General features: G+C 52.9%; 2 protein-coding genes and 1 pseudogene across 27 annotated transcripts, besides 12 other annotated features; all 3 read right to left on the reverse strand.

The window, feature by feature from the left end:
- Window positions 714-953: an enhancer, noted in NCBI's record as "active region_2689". NCBI's record gives its function as "activates an Ori minimal core promoter by ATAC-STARR-seq in GM12878 lymphoblastoid cells {active_cell/tissue: GM12878}" and the evidence as "EXISTENCE:reporter gene assay evidence [ECO:0000049][PMID:35858748]".
- C1orf35 (chromosome 1 open reading frame 35) lies at window positions 1,424-4,018 on the reverse strand. Of its 2 annotated transcripts, NR_130975.2 has the most exons (9): window positions 3,827-4,018; window positions 3,592-3,742; window positions 3,336-3,381; window positions 3,171-3,253; window positions 3,003-3,075; window positions 2,773-2,858; window positions 2,428-2,607; window positions 2,032-2,166; window positions 1,424-1,947 (listed from the first exon to the last, which is right to left on the reverse strand). NR_130975.2 is itself a non-coding variant. In NM_024319.4 (8 exons), the coding sequence occupies exons 1-8, from the start codon at window positions 3,918-3,920 to the stop codon at window positions 1,824-1,826; spliced, it is 792 nt and encodes a 263-aa protein (NP_077295.1). In that variant the 5' UTR covers window positions 3,921-4,018; the 3' UTR covers window positions 1,424-1,823. The 2 variants fall into 2 exon arrangements, 1 of the variants encoding a protein (NP_077295.1); NM_024319.4 differs by lacking the exon at window positions 2,428-2,607.
- Window positions 2,064-2,784: an enhancer, noted in NCBI's record as "H3K27ac-H3K4me1 hESC enhancer chr1:228289072-228289792 (GRCh37/hg19 assembly coordinates)". NCBI's record gives its function as "activates a minimal SCP1, AML or CMV promoter by ChIP-STARR-seq in naive H9 embryonic stem cells {active_cell/tissue: H9 hESC(naive)}" and the evidence as "EXISTENCE:reporter gene assay evidence [ECO:0000049][PMID:30033119]".
- Window positions 2,785-3,504: an enhancer, noted in NCBI's record as "H3K27ac-H3K4me1 hESC enhancer chr1:228289793-228290512 (GRCh37/hg19 assembly coordinates)". NCBI's record gives its function as "activates a minimal SCP1, AML or CMV promoter by ChIP-STARR-seq in naive H9 embryonic stem cells {active_cell/tissue: H9 hESC(naive)}" and the evidence as "EXISTENCE:reporter gene assay evidence [ECO:0000049][PMID:30033119]".
- Window positions 2,853-2,932: a silencer, noted in NCBI's record as "silent region_1910". NCBI's record gives its function as "represses an Ori minimal core promoter by ATAC-STARR-seq in GM12878 lymphoblastoid cells {active_cell/tissue: GM12878}" and the evidence as "EXISTENCE:reporter gene assay evidence [ECO:0000049][PMID:35858748]".
- Window positions 3,183-3,352: a silencer, noted in NCBI's record as "silent region_1911". NCBI's record gives its function as "represses an Ori minimal core promoter by ATAC-STARR-seq in GM12878 lymphoblastoid cells {active_cell/tissue: GM12878}" and the evidence as "EXISTENCE:reporter gene assay evidence [ECO:0000049][PMID:35858748]".
- Window positions 3,505-4,225: an enhancer, noted in NCBI's record as "H3K27ac-H3K4me1 hESC enhancer chr1:228290513-228291233 (GRCh37/hg19 assembly coordinates)". NCBI's record gives its function as "activates a minimal SCP1, AML or CMV promoter by ChIP-STARR-seq in naive and primed H9 embryonic stem cells {active_cell/tissue: H9 hESC(naive and primed)}" and the evidence as "EXISTENCE:reporter gene assay evidence [ECO:0000049][PMID:30033119]".
- Window positions 3,513-3,782: a silencer, noted in NCBI's record as "silent region_1912". NCBI's record gives its function as "represses an Ori minimal core promoter by ATAC-STARR-seq in GM12878 lymphoblastoid cells {active_cell/tissue: GM12878}" and the evidence as "EXISTENCE:reporter gene assay evidence [ECO:0000049][PMID:35858748]".
- Window positions 4,226-4,945: an enhancer, noted in NCBI's record as "H3K27ac-H3K4me1 hESC enhancer chr1:228291234-228291953 (GRCh37/hg19 assembly coordinates)". NCBI's record gives its function as "activates a minimal SCP1, AML or CMV promoter by ChIP-STARR-seq in primed H9 embryonic stem cells {active_cell/tissue: H9 hESC(primed)}" and the evidence as "EXISTENCE:reporter gene assay evidence [ECO:0000049][PMID:30033119]".
- On the reverse strand, window positions 7,378-9,992 carry MRPL55 (mitochondrial ribosomal protein L55). 25 transcript variants are annotated; one of them, XM_047446139.1, is made up of 6 exons: window positions 9,954-9,992; window positions 9,648-9,714; window positions 9,134-9,167; window positions 8,928-9,011; window positions 8,361-8,562; window positions 7,378-7,611 (listed from the first exon to the last, which is right to left on the reverse strand). In XM_047446139.1, exons 4-6 carry the CDS (start codon window positions 8,951-8,953, stop codon window positions 7,453-7,455), a joined length of 387 nt encoding a protein of 128 aa, XP_047302095.1. In that variant the 5' UTR covers window positions 8,954-9,011; window positions 9,134-9,167; window positions 9,648-9,714; window positions 9,954-9,992; the 3' UTR covers window positions 7,378-7,452. The 25 variants fall into 25 exon arrangements, with proteins under 25 accessions (XP_047302095.1, NP_852119.1, NP_852120.1 ...); NM_181454.3 differs by having other exon boundaries at window positions 9,130-9,167; NM_181455.3 differs by having other exon boundaries at window positions 8,928-9,014; window positions 9,130-9,167.
- Window positions 8,211-8,925: an enhancer, noted in NCBI's record as "H3K4me1 hESC enhancer chr1:228295219-228295933 (GRCh37/hg19 assembly coordinates)". NCBI's record gives its function as "activates a minimal SCP1, AML or CMV promoter by ChIP-STARR-seq in primed H9 embryonic stem cells {active_cell/tissue: H9 hESC(primed)}" and the evidence as "EXISTENCE:reporter gene assay evidence [ECO:0000049][PMID:30033119]".
- Window positions 8,926-9,639: an enhancer, noted in NCBI's record as "H3K27ac-H3K4me1 hESC enhancer chr1:228295934-228296647 (GRCh37/hg19 assembly coordinates)". NCBI's record gives its function as "activates a minimal SCP1, AML or CMV promoter by ChIP-STARR-seq in primed H9 embryonic stem cells {active_cell/tissue: H9 hESC(primed)}" and the evidence as "EXISTENCE:reporter gene assay evidence [ECO:0000049][PMID:30033119]".
- Window positions 9,908-10,077: an enhancer, noted in NCBI's record as "active region_2690". NCBI's record gives its function as "activates an Ori minimal core promoter by ATAC-STARR-seq in GM12878 lymphoblastoid cells {active_cell/tissue: GM12878}" and the evidence as "EXISTENCE:reporter gene assay evidence [ECO:0000049][PMID:35858748]".
- Window positions 10,348-10,437: a silencer, noted in NCBI's record as "silent region_1913". NCBI's record gives its function as "represses an Ori minimal core promoter by ATAC-STARR-seq in GM12878 lymphoblastoid cells {active_cell/tissue: GM12878}" and the evidence as "EXISTENCE:reporter gene assay evidence [ECO:0000049][PMID:35858748]".
- CIAO2AP2 (CIAO2A pseudogene 2) lies at window positions 15,328-16,177 on the reverse strand (annotated as a pseudogene).

Consider the following 17,286-nt stretch of genomic DNA (forward strand, 5'->3'; position numbering starts at 1 on the left):
GGCCGCCACCTCAGTCCACACCCTCCCCATGTTCCCTCCTGAGTGTGCAGGCACTTCTCTGTGTCTGTGTGAGAGGCTCTTCCAGCATGGTTGCCCACAGTGACCTTGATCTCGTTTGCAGTCCTGTCGGGCCCAGCCAATGAGACCTGGGCCATACAGGGCAGGGGTCAGCAGGCACCATGGAAGACCTCAGCCTCCGTCCTTCCCTCCATCGGCCTGCTGCTGAACCCCACTTTGTATAGCTGGCTATGGGGCAGGGCCACTGCTAGCATACATAGGGCTTTGTGCCAACCAGGGAATGGTCCCTGCCTGAGTGGGCACAGCCCCCACCTCTCCTCAAGATGCCATGCAGCAGGGGGCTGCCAGTCTGGGGGTACCTGTTTCTGGGATGGGGCCATCAGCAGGTCTAAGGTCTGCCTTCTGTTGGGCAGAGTCCCAAAAGAGAGGGCTGCCCTGGCTAGGTGGCCCAACCTTCATCCCCCTTGACAGCACCCAAGACAGCACAGTCTCTACTCCAGTAGCCACCCGAGGGTGAGGGCAGAGGTCAAAGCCACAAGCTACACCTTGGCCAGGGCCCTGAGGAAGGTCTGCATAACTTCCCTTGAAATCAGAAACAGGCCAGGTGAGGGAGCTCATGCCTCTGATCCCAACACTGCAACGCTGCATTGAACTGTGATGCAGCCCAGGTGCCATCTGTCTTTATGCCATGCAGCCTGGTGGCCGCACACATCCTGAACAGCCCTGATCCTTCTTAGGGTCAGGCAGAAGGGACACCCAGCCCACTGCCTCTGGAGAAGCGGAGCTGAGGGTTGGGGTAGCAGGCAGTTGGAGGAGCTCCCCAACCCCCACACCCAATTGAGGCTGTGCCTCCACAGACTGCAGTCTTTGACCTCACCTGTCGCAGGGATAGGGCTCCCTGCCCCAGGTTCCCACATTGCCAGCTGAGCACCTGCTTCCAGGGCCTCAGCCCTCCCTGGGTTTTGGTGGGGGCTCTGGGCACACATGGGAGGACTACATTCCCCCAGGACATTAAGAATCAGATGGGCACCGGGGCTCACACCTGTAATCCCAGCACTTTGGGAGGCCAAGGCGGGCGAATCACCTGAGGTCAGGAGTTCAAGACCAGCCTGGCCAACACGGTGAGACCTCGTCTCTACTAAGAAATAACAAAAATTAGCCTGGCGTAGTGGCAGCGCCTGTAATCCCAGCAACTCAGGTTGAGACAGGAAAATCGCTTGAACCCGCGAGGCGGAGGTTGCAGTGAACTGAGATCACACCATTGCACTCCGGCCTGGGCAACAAAAGTGAAACTCAAAAAAAAAAAAAATCACCAGGTCTCAGACTCCTGGGAGACAGACCCCAGCTCCGACGTTCCAGTGGGATCTCATTAACCCCTGATACTGACCTTCCAATTTGATATACCTTCCTTTTAAAATATATTTATTGAAATACAAAGAGTCAATATAAAGAAAAATAGAGGTCACCATACTTGGCCACAGTTAGACCGCTCATAGGCCCATGGCTGCTGCAACCATGGGCAGGACACAGAGGGAGTCCAGCCTCTACTGATAAATCTGGGCAGGTTCACCTTCGCAGGCCAAGCCAGGGGCCATCCCTGGTATGCGAAACCTGGAGGTTTTCCAGGAAGCCGGCTGCTCCAGAGCTAGCTGTCAAGTCTTTAGCCCCACAGGCTGGTGCCCAGAGCCACTTCCACAGGAGCAGCCTCGGGCTTCACCCACACCCAAGGAGCTTCCGAGGCAGGAGGCAAGCAAGGTGAAGGGAGGGTTCAGGGTCCCACAACAGCAGTGAGCAGGGTCCAGCCATCAGGCCTCAGAGCCTCTGTCATGCCACCTGCGAGACGGGCTCCTCCTGTCCCCACTGTGTCCCCGCTTCCTCCTCTTACAGCAGGGGGAGTTGGAGTCGGAGTCATGGTGGTGGTGCCTGGGCCTGGGGAGACCAATGGCAGTCAGTCACTCGGAAGGAGTCAACCAGGCCCCCACCCCCAAGAGGCAGATATGGACCAGGGCATACCTCTCAGGAGATGTGGGAGAGGAGGTGGCCTCAGCTGGCCGCCTGTGCTCTTTGTCTTTCTTCTTCTTCTCTTTCTTGTGTTTCCTCTTTTTCTTTTTCTTCTTCTCCTTCTTGCTTTTCCTGTGGCTCTCACAACTACAAGGAGGATACAAGGTGTGCCTCAGACCCTAGTCTTGCAAGCCAAGAGAGTGAACACAAGCAGGCCCCATCCAGATGAAGCCACCACCCACAAGTGCGTCTTTAAATCAGTTAAATCAAACTACAAATTCCACTCCTCAGTTACGTAGTCACGTGGCCAGTGGCTACGTGGGTTAGAAACAGATGCAATATCCCCATCTCCACAGCACGCCCCTGCCCCACCCCAGCCGTGCCCTTGGCAGGTTGACACCTTCCTACCTGCACCCACCAGGCCACTCTTAGGGTCAGGCCCAGGCTCACCATCCAGGAGAAGCCCTGGAGGTGCCACCCACGGCAGGAAAAGGCCCCGCCCCAGGTCCTGAGTGCCCTCCCACGGCACAGCGCCCGACCACTGCCAGTACTTAGGACCTCTCTTCAAGGGTGACCCGAGAAACTCCCCTAGAGAAAAACCTAGGAGTAACTGGGACAGGAAGTAAAGTAGGGCAGGCCACCCGCCGGGCCGGTGCGCCAAGAGAAGCTGCCACCTGCCCGAGTGGGAGCCGCTCCGGTCCTCCCGAGACCCCCCACCCCGGGGCACAGCTAGCCCAGGTGGCACAGCCTCACCTGCTTTCCGTCTGATCCTCCGCCCGCGGCTTCCTCCTGGCCGAGGCTGCCGAGGTCCCGGGCCCGCCGCTCTCTACGCGGTGATGCTGCGGGAGAAGCGAGCTCTGCGGAGGAGTCTGCGGGCCGGCCCCACACCACGCCCCGCAGCGCCCCGGGGAGCTCCGTTCAGTGCCCCCGCCCCGCCCCACCCCTGTTAGCCCCTGCTGCGGTCAGGCGGGGCGGGGGATTACCGTGAACACAGACAGCCCCAGTTTGGCGGCCTCCTTGTCCTCTCGGGACATCGCCACGCGGCCCACGGAGCCACTGCAGGGACATGGCGATGAAGACAGTACGGCAGGGGTCCGCCTCACCCGAGCAATCGAGCCCAGTGCTGCCCTCCCCTGGAAACCCGCCCGCACCTTGCGCTCCCCAGCCCCAGCAGCCGGTCCACGCCCTTCTCCTCGGGGTCGCCTCCTTCCCGCTTGCAGACCTCCGCGAAGTCCTGCAGGTGCGAGAGCACAGGGAGCGCTCGAGTCGGCCCCACACCCACGGCCCTCCACGCGCCCCCCACCCCGGGGAGTTACCTCCTTGCTCAGGCCCGTGGGCTGCTTCTTCACGTTCTTGTAGCCACTGCGAGAGGGCCGGGGCAGGCGTCAGGACGGACGGACCTCCTCCCACCACAGGTCCTCACCACTCCAGCCTTCGTCCTCAGGGTCCCGCCCGCGCGAGTCCCCGCAGCCCCGCTCCCGCCCAGCCCGACCCCCAGTCCCCGGCCCCGGCCCCACCCTGCCCCGGCAGCGCCGTCCCAGGCACCGACCGCTGCCGTCCGCGGACACTCACAGGGCGGCCAGCAGCGCCTCGCGCTCCGCCTCCCGCACGGCTGCCAGTTCCTCCTCGCGGCTCGGGCCCGCGCATGGCGCCCGGCCCTTGGCGTACCAGGTGAGGTCGCGGCCCTTCTGCCAGCGGCCTACCGGCGCCATCAGCGAGTTGCCTGCGGACGTAGACGCTGTGAGTCCAGCGCCCGCCCGGGATCCCGGAGCCCGGAGCCCGGAGCCCGCCCACCGCGCGCACCCACCCAGGTAGTTCTCCCGCTGCTTGTCAGTCTTCACGTCCTCCCAGTTGAACTGGTCCTGCCCGCCGCGCACGCCTCCACGACTGGAGCCGAACATGGCGCCGGGAAGGCAGTTGCCTGGGGCCTGCGGCTTGCAACCTGCAACCCGCAACCCGAGACCCGCTACCCACTACCGTCGGACCCAGGCCCGACCCCGCCTCCGCGTCGCGCGCCGTGACGTCACTCCCGCGCCCACTCGGCTTCGCCGCGCGCCTCTGCGCAGCGCACTGCCCCGGATCTGTGCTCCCGCGCATCACCTCCACGTCGGCTTTGGGCGCCTGCGCACTGCGCCTACCCTGCCGGGCGCGGGAACGCCTCTGAACTGGAAGTTTAAAAATGGTTAAAACGGGGCCGGGCGGAGTGGCTCTCGCCTGTAATCCCAGCAAGTTGGGAGGCCGAGGCGGGCGGATCGCTTGAGGTCGGGAGTTCGAGACTAGCCTGTCCAACATGGTGAAACCCGGTCTCTACTCAAATACAAAAATTAGCCGGGTGTGGTGGTGCACACCTGTAATTCCAGCTACTCAGGAGGCTGAAGCAGGAGAATCACTTGAGCCGGGAGGCAGAGGTTGCAGTGAGCCGAGATCGCGCCACTGCACTCCCGCCTGGGCGACAGAGCGAGACTGTCTCAAAAATAAGAAGTTAAAATGGGCCAGGCGCGCGCGCGCCCCTGTAGCCCCAACGCTTTGAGGCTGAGGCGGGAGGATCTCGAACCCAGGACTTCGCGCCACTGCACTCCAACCTGAACGAGTGAGCGGACCCTGTCTCATAAAAAAAGAAAAAAGAAAACACACAAGATGCGCCTAGTTAACACCGCCAATTGGTCACTGCTAGTCGCGATTCCATATCGGGAGCTTAACAAGGTAATGACCTTAATGATTTGTGGAATTTCTGAGTATTACCCAGTAAACTTCTGGATGAACCAGCAGCTACCCAGACACCCTCAGAGCACTGGTCCTATCCCTGCCGTGTTAAACTGAATGTGCACCCTAACTCCCATGTGAAATCCTCACCCCAAGGCGTTGGTGCTTCGGAGGTGACTAGGTCATGAGGACAGAGCCTTCATAAAAGGGACCCCAAGAGCTTTGTGCAGCTTTCTACTGTGTGAAGGCAGCGGGAAGGAAGTCTGCAGTCTGGAAGAAACCCCTTACCAGAACCTCAGCGTGCTGGGCACCCTGATTTTGGAGGTTGTGACGTACCCCTGCTTCCCCTTTCCACTTTCATTCCCAGTGCTGACTGAGAAACAGAGTCCCTTGGCCACTCTGTGACTTCGCCAACTGTATAATTTCCTCTGCAGACTTGAACCCGAGCCATAGCCATGAACGTTCCCAGGCACAGATGACAGTAACTAGGTTGTTGCTCAAAACACAGAAAGAAACTGGACTCAGCCTGAGCCAGATTCCTCAAACCCTCATATAAATTCCATTCACCAACCCCCTCCCCCACGGACATACCTAGAGAGAACTTCATTTCTCTCACTGCCTATTGCAAGAACTGCTGCAGCCCACTCTGTACAAAAGCCCCACGAATAAATGCTCTGGGCGAATCACCCTGGCATGCTCAATCTGTAGAATCCTAACCAGCCCCATCTCAGGATGGTGTGGGGCACTCCCTTGTGGGAACTCTACTGCCACCACTTTTGGGGCAATTCCAGCCACAGGTTGAACTGGATGAAATACAGGTCTACTGTCCTGTGGGAAATTTCTGTTTCTTAGTGACCCAGTCCATGGGTCAGGCTGTTAGAGCAGGCTGGCAGACAGCCACACGTCTGGCTCATCTATCTACTTAGCAAGTACTGGCTGCCATCTCCCTCATGAGGCACTGCATGAGCTTTCATCATGGAGCAGGTGCATGGCGAGGGCAGAGCAGCAGGCCACAGCCAGGCACACAGAAGGTGACTGGCCGACTCCCAGGAAGGCTCCCTGGGGTGTAGGGCATCATCTCCTGGGTGCCATTGCAGCTTGCCAGGCCAGGGTGGACTTGGGCCATGTGGGCAGGGCCCAGCTGTGGAGTCTGACCACTGACTGGATGTCAGGTGTGGTGGAGAGGGGATAGCAGGGCCAGGTGGACATTGGGCAGGAGTCCAGGACGGCTCTGAGGCTCTGGTCTGGGCAACTGTGAGGATGAAGCAGCCACCTGTCAACATGAGGACCAGGTTTGTGGGGAAGACCTGGTCAGTTTTGAGCCCATTAGCCTGACAAGCCGTAGGCCACAGGAGGAGGGGTCACCAGGGTGGAGGTTGCATGGCCTGTGCCTGCTGGGTGGAGGCCCAGCTGGGGGCACTGGTCACAGTGGTGTCCTCTGTGACAGCAGCGAAGCTGGACCCAGGAGGGTGGCGGTCAGGGAGTGGAGGGGCAGTGGAGATCCCAGGGGAACCCACTATAGTGGGAGGAGGCTGGGTAGTGGAGGGGGGGGGCCAAGTGAGTGCACAGAGTGGCCGGGCAGCTGGCTCTATATGCCACAGGGATTGAGCCACAACTTCAGAGACGGGGGCTCCAGGGAGGCTGCTCAGGAAGTAACCCTGCAAGGCAGAGTCCCAGGCAGCCACACAGCCCATCCACGTGAGGTCAGGCACTGCTCGGTCACAAGGACAGGGGCAGGGCCAGAGGACATCCCTTGCAGGCTCTTCTCAGCAGAGCTGAAGGCCAGCGGGATGAGCAGAGGGCCAGGAACAAGCTTAAGGGGCAAGGGATGGGCCTGCAAGGTGGGGACACTGCCCAGGCTCCTCAGTTATAAGCACTGTCATCACAGGGGCATGACAGAACACACTCCCACACCTCCCTGGCAATCCCAGAACACCACTGCAAGAAGTCTTTGTCGGGCACTCCAGGTGTCAGAGAGACAGCCTGCCAGGTGGGACCCAGTAACATCCCAGGACAGGGACAGGAAGCAGTCTGGGCCCTGAGCTGTCCAAAACCTGGGTTGTTGTGCGTGTGGAAGGTGCCTGCACATTAGCTGGAGCTGGTCCTGAGTTAAATCAGCCTCTGGACAGATGAAGCAGGGTCCGTGGATCTCCCTGGGCTGTGTGTAACTGCAGTGCTCTGCAGACCCCATTAAGAGTCAAGGACAACCAGGGCTGGCTGCTCCTCTGGGGACCCTCCCAGGGCAGGACCTTCCCTGGGGCAGCCTGGGAATGCAGGGCCAGGGCAGGGAGCTGCAGGCTGTGGTCCAGATGGTCCTAGGACTGCCCCACCAAGGTTGATGCCTGAGTCCCAGAACACCCAGCCCCTCCTAGGAACCAACCTGAGGGCCACTGTGCTGTCAGAAGGGCAGTCACCTTGGTGCCCCTGAGGCTGGGAGGGCAGAGCTTAGAGCTTGGTGGTGTTGGGTACTGCCCACATGGTTGTCCACGTGCACCACAGCCCCAGAGCAGTGTCCAAAACCCACAGGTTTGATCTACACCAACCCTCACCCTGCTAGTCCACTGAGCTCTCTCTGTGCTTGAGCTGATGCCTTTCAGGGGATGAGCTGCCAGTCTGGGGCACACACCAAGTGGGGAGACAGACACAGACTCCAGGTGGCAGCTTCAAGAACGAGTGATTTAAGAACAGCCCTCCCATCTTAGCAATGTCCCGGGGTGGCTGGAGCCACGGTCACTTCTTGGTCCTGGTCCAGAACTGTCGGTAGCGCTCCACATGCAAGTCATCACTGAGCTCCTGCTCGTACTCCTTCCTCGACTGGAGCTGAGCCTCACGCTTCCGCAGCCTGGCCCGGCGCTCCTCAGGAGACAGGGTGTCCAGATCTATGGGCATCTGCAGGGGACAGACCAAGTTTCGTCCATGTGGATCGAGGGACCTTGAGAGCTACTGGGGGGACAGCCCAAGGCCTTCCTCTCAACTTACGTCTTCCATCCTATGCTAGCTTAATTTTCAAACATTCTTATTGGTCTCTCCCTTCAAAGCTTTCAATCTTTAAAATAAATTGTTCTGTGTTTTCCCCAGATTTGATGTTTTTAAAAACACACAAGGCCAGGCATGATGGCTCACTCATACCTGTAATCCCAGTGCTTTGGGAGGCCTAGGTGAGAGGATCGCTTGAGCCCAGGAGTTCAAGACTAGCCTGGGCAACACAGAGAGACCCCATCTCTACAAAAATATCTTTCAAAAAATTAGTGAGGCATGGTGGTGTGCACCTGCAGTCCCAGCTACTTGGGAAGCTGGGGTGGGAGGACCGCATGAGCCCAGGGGGTCAGGGCTGCAGTGAACCGAGATCGTGCCTCTGCACTCCAGCCTGGTTGACAGAGCAAGACCCTGTCTCAAAAAAATAAATTTAAAAAATAAAAACACACTACTGGTTAGTCCTATCTAATTTTGGTGCTTAGAGTCAGTTTTGGATCTAAGCCTTCCTCCACTCCTCCAACAACCACCTGCTCCCCTGACTCCTGTCATGTGGTACAGTGACCACAGCCACATGTCCATCCGAAGGCGACTGGTCACCAGCACCCCCACCACAGCCTCGACCCCAGCCCGGCACCTGGAAGCACCTGGAGAGGGAAGCTTACCGCCAGCATGCGCCGTGGCTCCCTGTAGCGGATGTGGATGGTGGAGCCATCCTGCTTCACCAGCAGCACGGGGTAGAGTCGTGCATAAGCCTGGCGGTGCACACGAGTGAGTGAGGCCCTGCTGCTGTCAGCTCGCCAGGAGGATGTGTGCAGGCGGCGGAGTGCAGGTCCGGTGGCCTTCACGGTGCTCTGCCTCAGCCGGCTGCAGATAAATGTTCAAGCTCTGGTCAGCCGACAGTGCTGCAGCAGAGTGCCAACATGACTGAGGCTGGCTGTGATTGGGCACTGCCGGGCCACAGGAGACATTACCAGAGCTGGTGACCCGTGCCGGGGCAGGATGAGCCTCGGGGCTTCCTCAGGAGCCACAGGCTGTGGTCAGAGGCGTTCTGGCCCCCTAGCCAGGAAGAGGCTGCCAGGCTGAGCAAGGGCACAAAGCTTCCAGCACAGGGGACAGTGGACAATAGCAAGGACTAGGGAGGATTAGAATGGCGGTTTCCTGCTGAAGAGAGGGGTTCCCTGGGGTGGCCCCTGACAGTAATCCCCAGGGACCTAAAAGTCCATGCTTACCCAAGCAGGCTGCCCACGGCCGCCATTCCTCCTTACAGCCCCAGTGGCACGTGGAGGTGGTCAGTACAGGCCCTGGCGTGCAACCTGCTAGGCAGAGAATGAAGAGATCTTTTTTAAAAGGAAGGTTCTTCCACCTAATGGTTTCTTATCAAATCCCAGCCCAGGATGCTTCCAAGACACATGTAATCACCACGCCACTCACCAACCTCTCCCAGCAACCCTTGGACTTCTCAGAACCGCCTGTAGAGGTTTTTCCAAAAGCAGAAGTTGGTCACTACTCCCAAAGATTCTGAGTCAGCCTGCGGCAGGGCCCAGGCTGTCTGTTCTGGCCGTTACCGAGTCTGCGAAACCTCTCTGAATGGACTGCAGCCTCAAAAGTGGAGCTGAGGTCATGCCTTGCTTTCTAAGGTCATTGCTAGTTTTAATAAAAACTCAGTGAAGTGAGGATTGTCATGCTTGCTTAAAGGAGAATGGAGGCCCAGGGCTGCTTTGCTGTGACCTGGATTCCCATGGGAGTCTGTGCTGAGGTGTGCGAAGTAAAAGCCCAGTTTTCAATACTCAGATTCCAGGAGATGAGGCTGCACAGAGGCCGAGCGCCCAGCTTCCTCTGGCGTACCCCTGTCTCTCACCAAGGAAGGGACCTGAAGACAGGTCCGGCTGCCTCTAAAATGGAAATCCTGCTACGTGTCCTATGCCCACATCCCTCTCCCTCGGCCTCACCAGCACAGGAGCCTGGGGCTGGTCCAGGAGGGTCTTCGGGGAAAGCTCCCTCTCCTTTCCTGCTAGACTGCATGGGGACAAGGGCTTATCACAGGTGCAGCCCCCTGTCCCCTTCCCTGCCTCCCTCCCTCCCGACTCCACCGGGAGGGTACAGCGCCTCCCGCCTCTGTTCCCGGCCCACACGAGGCGCCAACCTGCGGCCGCCACAGTCGCTGCGGAGGGGTCTGAGGACAGGCGGTCCTGACTCCCGCTGCCCGGTGGAACTAAGACCAGGGACGAGGCCACGCAGGAGATCAAGGTACTCACTGCGTTGGGTGCTGCTGCGCTGCAGCCCACGACGTCACTGGCAGGCGCTGCGTCGCGCGGTATGACGTGTTCCATGGCAGGGAGAGGCAAGAGTGGGCGGTGAGACACGAAGATATACGCCCCTGTTGGGCGGGGCCGGCGCGGCGTGATGTAATCTCGGGGGCGGGACGAAGCCTAGGTGGGCGGGGCCTGCGGGGGCGCTGTGGCGGTACAAGAACCCAGGCGGGGCCGGCGAGCAGGTGACCTCCGTCCCTACCGGGAGGACCAGGGCGGGCCGGCGAGGTCGAGGGGGACCCGCGGGTCTGAGGGAGGACGGAGTGGGGGAGTGCTGAGGGAGGACCCGGGGTGGGGAGCTGAGGGAGGATCCGCAGGGCTGAGGGAGGATCCAGGAGAGCTGATAGAGGTCCCGGAGGGCTGAGGGAGGACCCAGGGGTCCTGAGGGAGGACGCAGGGGGCTGAGGGAAGACGCAGGGGGGCTGAGGGAGGATCCTCGGAGCTGAAGGGGCATCAGCTGGGCTGAGGGAGGACCCAGGGGGACTGCGGGAGCACCCGGGCGGGGGCTGAGGGAAGGAGGATCCGCGGGGCTGAGTGGGCACCAGCTGGGCTGAGGGAGGATCCAGGGGGAGCTGCGGAAGGATCTGCGGGGCTGAGAGAGGATCTAGAAGGGGTGAGAGAGGTCCCAGGAGGCTAAGGGGGGAATCTGCAGAACTGAGGGAGGTCCCAGGGGGCAGTGAGGGAGGATCCATGGGCGCTGAGGTGGGAATCTAGGGAGGCTGAGGGAGGATCTGTGGGGATGACGGAAGTTCAAGGGGGGCTGAAGAGGCACGCAGCGGGCTGAGGAGGACCTGAGAGGCTGAAGGAGGATCCGAAAGGCTGATACAGCGGGGCTGAGGGGGGATCCGCGGGGTTGGCGGGGGCTGAGAAATGACCCTGTAGTTCACAGCAAAATGGAGTAATTTATGTCACAACGTAACCAAAATGGAGTGGGGAGGGCCCTAAGGAAGCAGCTGTCACGCATTTCTGAAATGCCAGAGAGGCTCGCTATTACCTTGTAAACAGAGCTTATTCCGGGCATTTCCACTGGCCTGCAGTATTCCAGATGAGATGTTTGGACCAGGGCAGGCAGATAGCATCGCCTATCTGCCTCAGCGAACCAGGGTCACTTTGTGCAATGAGTTCATGAGACCAGGGCCTTTGTTTTGTGAAAGTTACAAATAAGGAGTGAAATCACTTTGTCAGGCCCAGACAAACAGGGCTGGGAAGAACAGGAGGCTCAGGCTTAGTGTCTGAGATAAGAATTATTCGCAAGGACTTTCTAAAAACCCCACAAGAAACCCTTTTGTGTCATTCACGGGTCTCCTACTTTGACAAAATTTAGACCATCTTTAGGACTGCAGTAATTCAGTTAAGATGCTCGGAATAAACACTTGCCCAGTAATGGCAGCGCCACCAATGAACTGAGGACAACTTTGAGCTTTGGCGTTGGGCCCCTGGAACCAATGAACTCTTTCTAAGCAGCTTCTGTGAACCGCTCCCTTTTCGCTGATAAAAGTTCCCTTTTCACTGATAAAAAGTTCCCTTTACCCTTCCCTCACTGGGAATGCTGGTGGCTTGCTGCTGTTGATGAAAAGAGTCAAACTTTGTAAAATATTTTAAGAGATATATTCTGAGCCAAATATGAGTAACCATGGCCTGTGACACAGCCCTCAGGACAGAGGTCCTGAGAACATGTTCCCAAGGTGGTTGGGGTGCAGCTTGGTTTTATACATTTTAGGGAGGCATGAGACATCAATCAAATACATTTAAAACCTACATTGGTTTGGTTCAGAAAGGCAGGACAACTCGAAGCAGGGGTCAAGGGTGCTGGCTTCCAGCTTATAGGTAGATTGAAAAATTTTCTGTTTGACAATTGGTTGAATTTACCTGAAGACCTGGGATTAACAGAAAGGAATGTCTGGGTTAAGATAAAAGATTGTGGGTGGGGTGCAGTGGCTCACACCTGTAATCCCAGCACTTTGGGAGGCTAAGGCAGGCGGATCACGAGGTCAGGAGTTCGAGACCAGCCTGACCAACATGGTGAAACCTCCTCTCTACTAAAAATACAAAAATTAGCTGGGCGTGGTGGTGTGTGCCTGTAATCCCAGTTACTCAGGAGGCTGAGGCAGAAGAATCACTTCAGCCCAGGAGGCGGAGGTTGAAGTGAGCCGAGATTGCGCCACTGCACTCCAGCTTAGGCAATAGAGTGAGACTCCATCTAAAAAAAAAAAAAAAGGAAAGAAAAAAAAATATATATATATATGATTGTGGAGACCAAAGTTCTTATTTGCAGATGAAGCCTTCAGGTATTAGGCTTCAGAGAGAATAGGTTGTAAAATGTTTATCGGACTTAAAGTCTATGTTGATGTTAATGCCAGAGAGGTATAATGAGGCATGTCTGACCCCCACTTCTTATGGCCTGAACCAGTCTTTGAGGTTAAATTTTAAGAGTTCCAGGCCAGGCACAGTGGCTGACACCTGTAATCCCAACACTTTGGGAGGCAGAGGTGGGCGAATCACTTCAGGTCAGGAGTTCGAGACCAGCCTGGCCAACATGGTGAAACCCGGTCTCCACTAAAAAATATACAAAAATTAGCCAGGCATGGTGGTGCGCACCTGTAATCCCAGCTACTCAGGAGGCTGAGGCAGGAGAATCACTTGAACCTGGGAGGCAGAGGTTGCAGTGAGCAGAGATCGCACCACTGCACTCCAGCCTGGGTGACAGAGCAAGACTCCGTCAAAAAAAAAAAATTTTTTTTAAGAGTTCCCTGGCCGAGGAGGAAGTCCATTTAGATGGCTGGGGAGCCTTATAAATTTATTTTTTATTTTTGGTTTACACTTGATAAAAACTTCAGCCGAATTAAATTTAAAGTTTAATTGAGCAATGAATGATTCACGAATCACGCAGCCCCCAGAATCACAGCAGATTCACAGAGACTCCAGCACAGCCACGTGGTGGAAGATTCGTAGACAAAAAAAGGTAAATGATGTACAGAAATTGAAAGTAAAGTACAAAACAGCTGGATTGGTTTCAGGTTGGTGTTTGCCGTATTTGAACACAGTTTGAACGCTCAGCAGTATATGAATAGTTGAAGTGCAGCCTCTGGGATTGGCCAAGACGCAGCTATTGTTACAGTTGCATACTCCTGTTAGGTTTTCAATCTATCTACCTATTAAGCTAGGTTGCAGTTCATCCACAAGGACTCAAATATAAAAATATGAAGTCCTTCTCAGGCCATATTTAGTTTGCTTCAGCAACTACCCTCTTTTGGTCATTTTCTCAATTTTGAGAGATTGACCAAAACTTTAGTTGTTGTCACTATCACCATAGTAAATGTACTTATTTGCTCCTGAAATCCAGTGGGAAACAGTAGAACAATGAGTTTTCCAAAGGTAGGAACAAAGACTGAGTAGAGGGTACCTCTTTATGCTGGAACATCCTGTTTACAGGAGAAAAAACCTGGTCTGTTCTAGGATTTATATGTATCCTTAGTTTGATTATGTCACATTTAGCATGAGTGACTCCATTTTAGTTTGGTTTGTCCTGTTGGGACCTAGTGCATGAGCTTAGTCCAAAACAATGGCCTCCCATAATTGTGTTTTTTAAAAAATTCCCCCTTTTTGGTCAGGTTCTTACTTAGGTGAGAGTGTGACCAAAACTTGGGGCCTTAGCACCACTCTCTGTTACCATCATTTTGTGTTTCTGGTGTCAGCACATCGTTCATAGGTTATGGTATCCTCATGGTCACATATTTCTTTCAGCTCTTTCATTCCAGTTGAAGAGAGACCATTTGACGTTCTAGAGATAGCTGTGTGCAATCATTTAAAATCTTTGAGAGAATACAGTGCACCAGGGAGACTATTATTATGCCTATTGGGAGCATAATACCAAGAGTTTGGAGTATGCTCCTTACCCAGGGTCCCCATAAACCAAACCACCTAAAATTAAATAGATTAAAGAATGAGTGAGATGAAGGGTCTACTTGCTTGACTAAGTGATCTTTTCATTAATCTTCTACAACTGAATTTTTATAATCTACATTTAATGTATTCCTCCATAGGCCACAGCTGCCAGCAGCTGCACAGGTACTTTTCTATTTAACTAATTCTATTATTTAGCATAACTTTCACAAGAGAATTTAAAGTCTGTTGTGTAACGATAGTCTTTACAGTAGAATCTGCTAGAAAGCCTATTATGAGGGATATATTTCTAGTTATTGCCTATTTTATTCTAAACGATGGAAAAAGGACCTAACAAATGATGTCCTTTTAGAAAAGTGAAGGCCCCCTGACAATGTTCTCTTTAACCCATGATGTGGGTTAAGAGGAGTTTTTACTGATTATGAGGAAATATATGTACAATTAAAGTTTTTCACCTACATTGGGCCTTCGTCTTGTCTTTATCAAAGTATAAGTTTATTCATGTATAAGGCTGGCTACAAAATCCTTCACAAATAAAAGTATACCTTATAACTGAACATAATAGAACCCCTTTTCATTTCTATTATTCATAGAGGCATAAACAAGGAAAAAAATATTCAAAGATAAGAGTCTCATTATAGAAGCCTTGATCCATGATCATGGGAAAAGCTGTTCACATCAAGGATGCCATCTTCTTCTGGGAAGAAACTTTCTGGGTTAGTTTTACCTTAAGGATTCCAATGGGTGTACAGTTCCAAGAGTGTAGAGGGACCCCTTTCAGTTGTTTATGAACCCAAGGTTCAAGGTTCCAAAGTTTTGTTGCAGTGTAGAAGGACAGTCTTTCTCTGATGTTCTCAGAAGAGTCAGTCTTCAGGTTCTGGATTGTGAAGGGGTTGATTGTCCTCAGTGAACCATAAAAAGTTTTCTTTATCTGGTGAAAATATACTCTGGCATAATAATTAGCTGTTATAACATAAAACATGCATTGAAAATGACAGTGGAATGAAATTCATTTATACATGTTTAAATGACCCATCAGGTAGCCAAATGTACCTGAAGGTTTGATTACCTTCCCAGGAATATGGAACCAACCATTGGTTTTATTTTATTTTATTTTATTTTGAGATGGAGTCTCACTCTATTGCCCAGGCTGGAGTGCAGGGGCATGATCTTGGCTCACTGCAGCCTCCACCTCCCGGGTTCAAGCGATTCTCCTGCCTCAGCCTCCTGCGTAGCTGGGACTGTAGGCACCCGCCACCACGCCCAGCTAATTTTTACATTTTTAGTAGAGACAGGGTTTCACCATATTGGCCAGGCTGGTCTTGAACTCCTGACTTTGTGATCCACCCACCTCAGCCTCCCAAAGTGATGGGATTACAGGCATGAGCCACCATGCCCAGCTGTGTTTTTTTTTTACAAGAATCATCTGCTTATTTATTTTACAAAGTAATTATTTAAATTGAGTACATTTGGGCACAGTAGATATTGGACATGAAAAGTATTTGTATCAGAATGGGCATCAGAAAAATAGCAACTCATCTTACACATAATAACTAGAAAATATTATTCTGTCTGATCATTTAAGTGTTACAAATCCTGAGAATGTTATACACTGAACAAATTAGGTACTACCTTAAAATTAAATCTTGCTTGGAAATAATCCTTTAAAAATGATCTGAGGTACAAATCATCTATGTATTAAACGTGAGTCTTTGACATTATACAAAGAGTTTAAACAAATATATAAATTACAGGTCAGTGGCTCTTAAAATAGCTACCAGTCAGGTTCAAGGACACACTGTTCCGCAATTTCCCATAAGCTGGGGTTTTCCATTGCAGCCTCCACTTGCTCTTTGTTGTTTATCTGCATACTTATATCTTCTGTTGAGTGGGTTCCTTCAGAAATGTAGATTTCCAACTTATGTTTAAATGGTAAACACTGCTGAAGTTTTATTCTTAAGCACAGCCCCATAAGAATCGCCAAATATCAATGAGGTACTCTTGGTGTAAACTTGATAATAACCAGATAGTCTTCTTCATTTATCTCCTGAACTTCCATATAACTTTCCGTTACCAATTCCAGTTCTTCTAAAGTATTGGGCTTTTCTGGGTCCCAGATAGTTCGAATCAAATCATAAACCTCTAGCACTTTCTCTTCCATGATCCGGGGCTGCCGGGCAGCTCCCCACTCAAAGAGGCCCGAGAGCCACAGGATTCTGCTCAGTGTCCAGGAAAGCAGCCTCAGCTCTGCCATCCCTGGCAACTGTGGAGGTATTGGTTTTAAACAGTTTTCACAATTTACAAGTTAACCACATCAGTATATTAAATTTGGGTCATTTTATCTTTTCCATGATGAATCATAAAATCCAGAACCATTAATAACAAAAGCCTTAGAGTCTCAAGAGGGACAAGGTGGCCATCCTGGTTCTCCATGAGTCCATGCTTAACACTGGACTTATGTCCTCTTGAATACCAGTTGTTTCTCCAATTTATCATAGGTAATTTGACTCAGACCTTGGAGTTCAAATTGTATATCTAAACAATTTTAGTATTGGCTGGCTTAACATGAAAATCTGGCAAAGTATTTTCTTGGAATTTCAATAATTTTTTCTTTTTTTGAGACAGAGTCTCACTCTGTTGTCCAGGCTGGGGTACAGTGGCATGATGTTGGCGCACTGCAGCCTCCATCTCCTGGGTTCAAGTGATCCTCCTGCCTCAGCCTCCCAAGTAGCTGAGATTACAGACTTGCACCACCATACCCAGCTAATTTTTGTATTTTTAATAGATACAGGGTTTTGCCATGTTGGCCAGGCTGGTCTGAAACTCCTGACCCTGTCAGGTGATCTGCCCACCTCAGCCCCGCAAAGTGCTGGGATAACAGGTGTGAGTCACTGTGCCTGGCCTGTATTTAATTTTTTCTGTTCCACTTGAGTTAGCAGTTTTATGCAAGGGAATTTGGTTATTTCTGTCGTGTATAATAACAACATAATAACCATAATTATGATTGACAATATATATTTAGACATATTAGAATTTTAGAAATCCTATATAATTTTGGAACATATATTATTGTCCACTAAAATACAAACTGAAGATTATACATTATTTTTATTTTGACAATGCTTCTATGTAACTTAACATGTTAAATAATTCTGTTTACCTCTCTTTTGGAGGCTTTAGGGGCCCTCTGTAGCATTCCAAAGTTAGAGGTCAGAAAAGACCATTTTGGGGCCAGGTGTGGTGGCTCATGCCTGTAATCCCAGCATTTTGGGAGGCCGAGGTGGGTGAATCACCTGACACCAGGAGTTCGAGACTAGCCTGGCCAACATGGTGAAACCCCGTCTCTACTAAAAACACAAAAAATTTTCTGGGCATG

This window comes from Homo sapiens, chromosome 1, assembly GCF_000001405.40.
Source record: "Homo sapiens chromosome 1, GRCh38.p14 Primary Assembly".
NCBI classification, from domain to species: domain Eukaryota; kingdom Metazoa; phylum Chordata; class Mammalia; order Primates; family Hominidae; genus Homo; species Homo sapiens.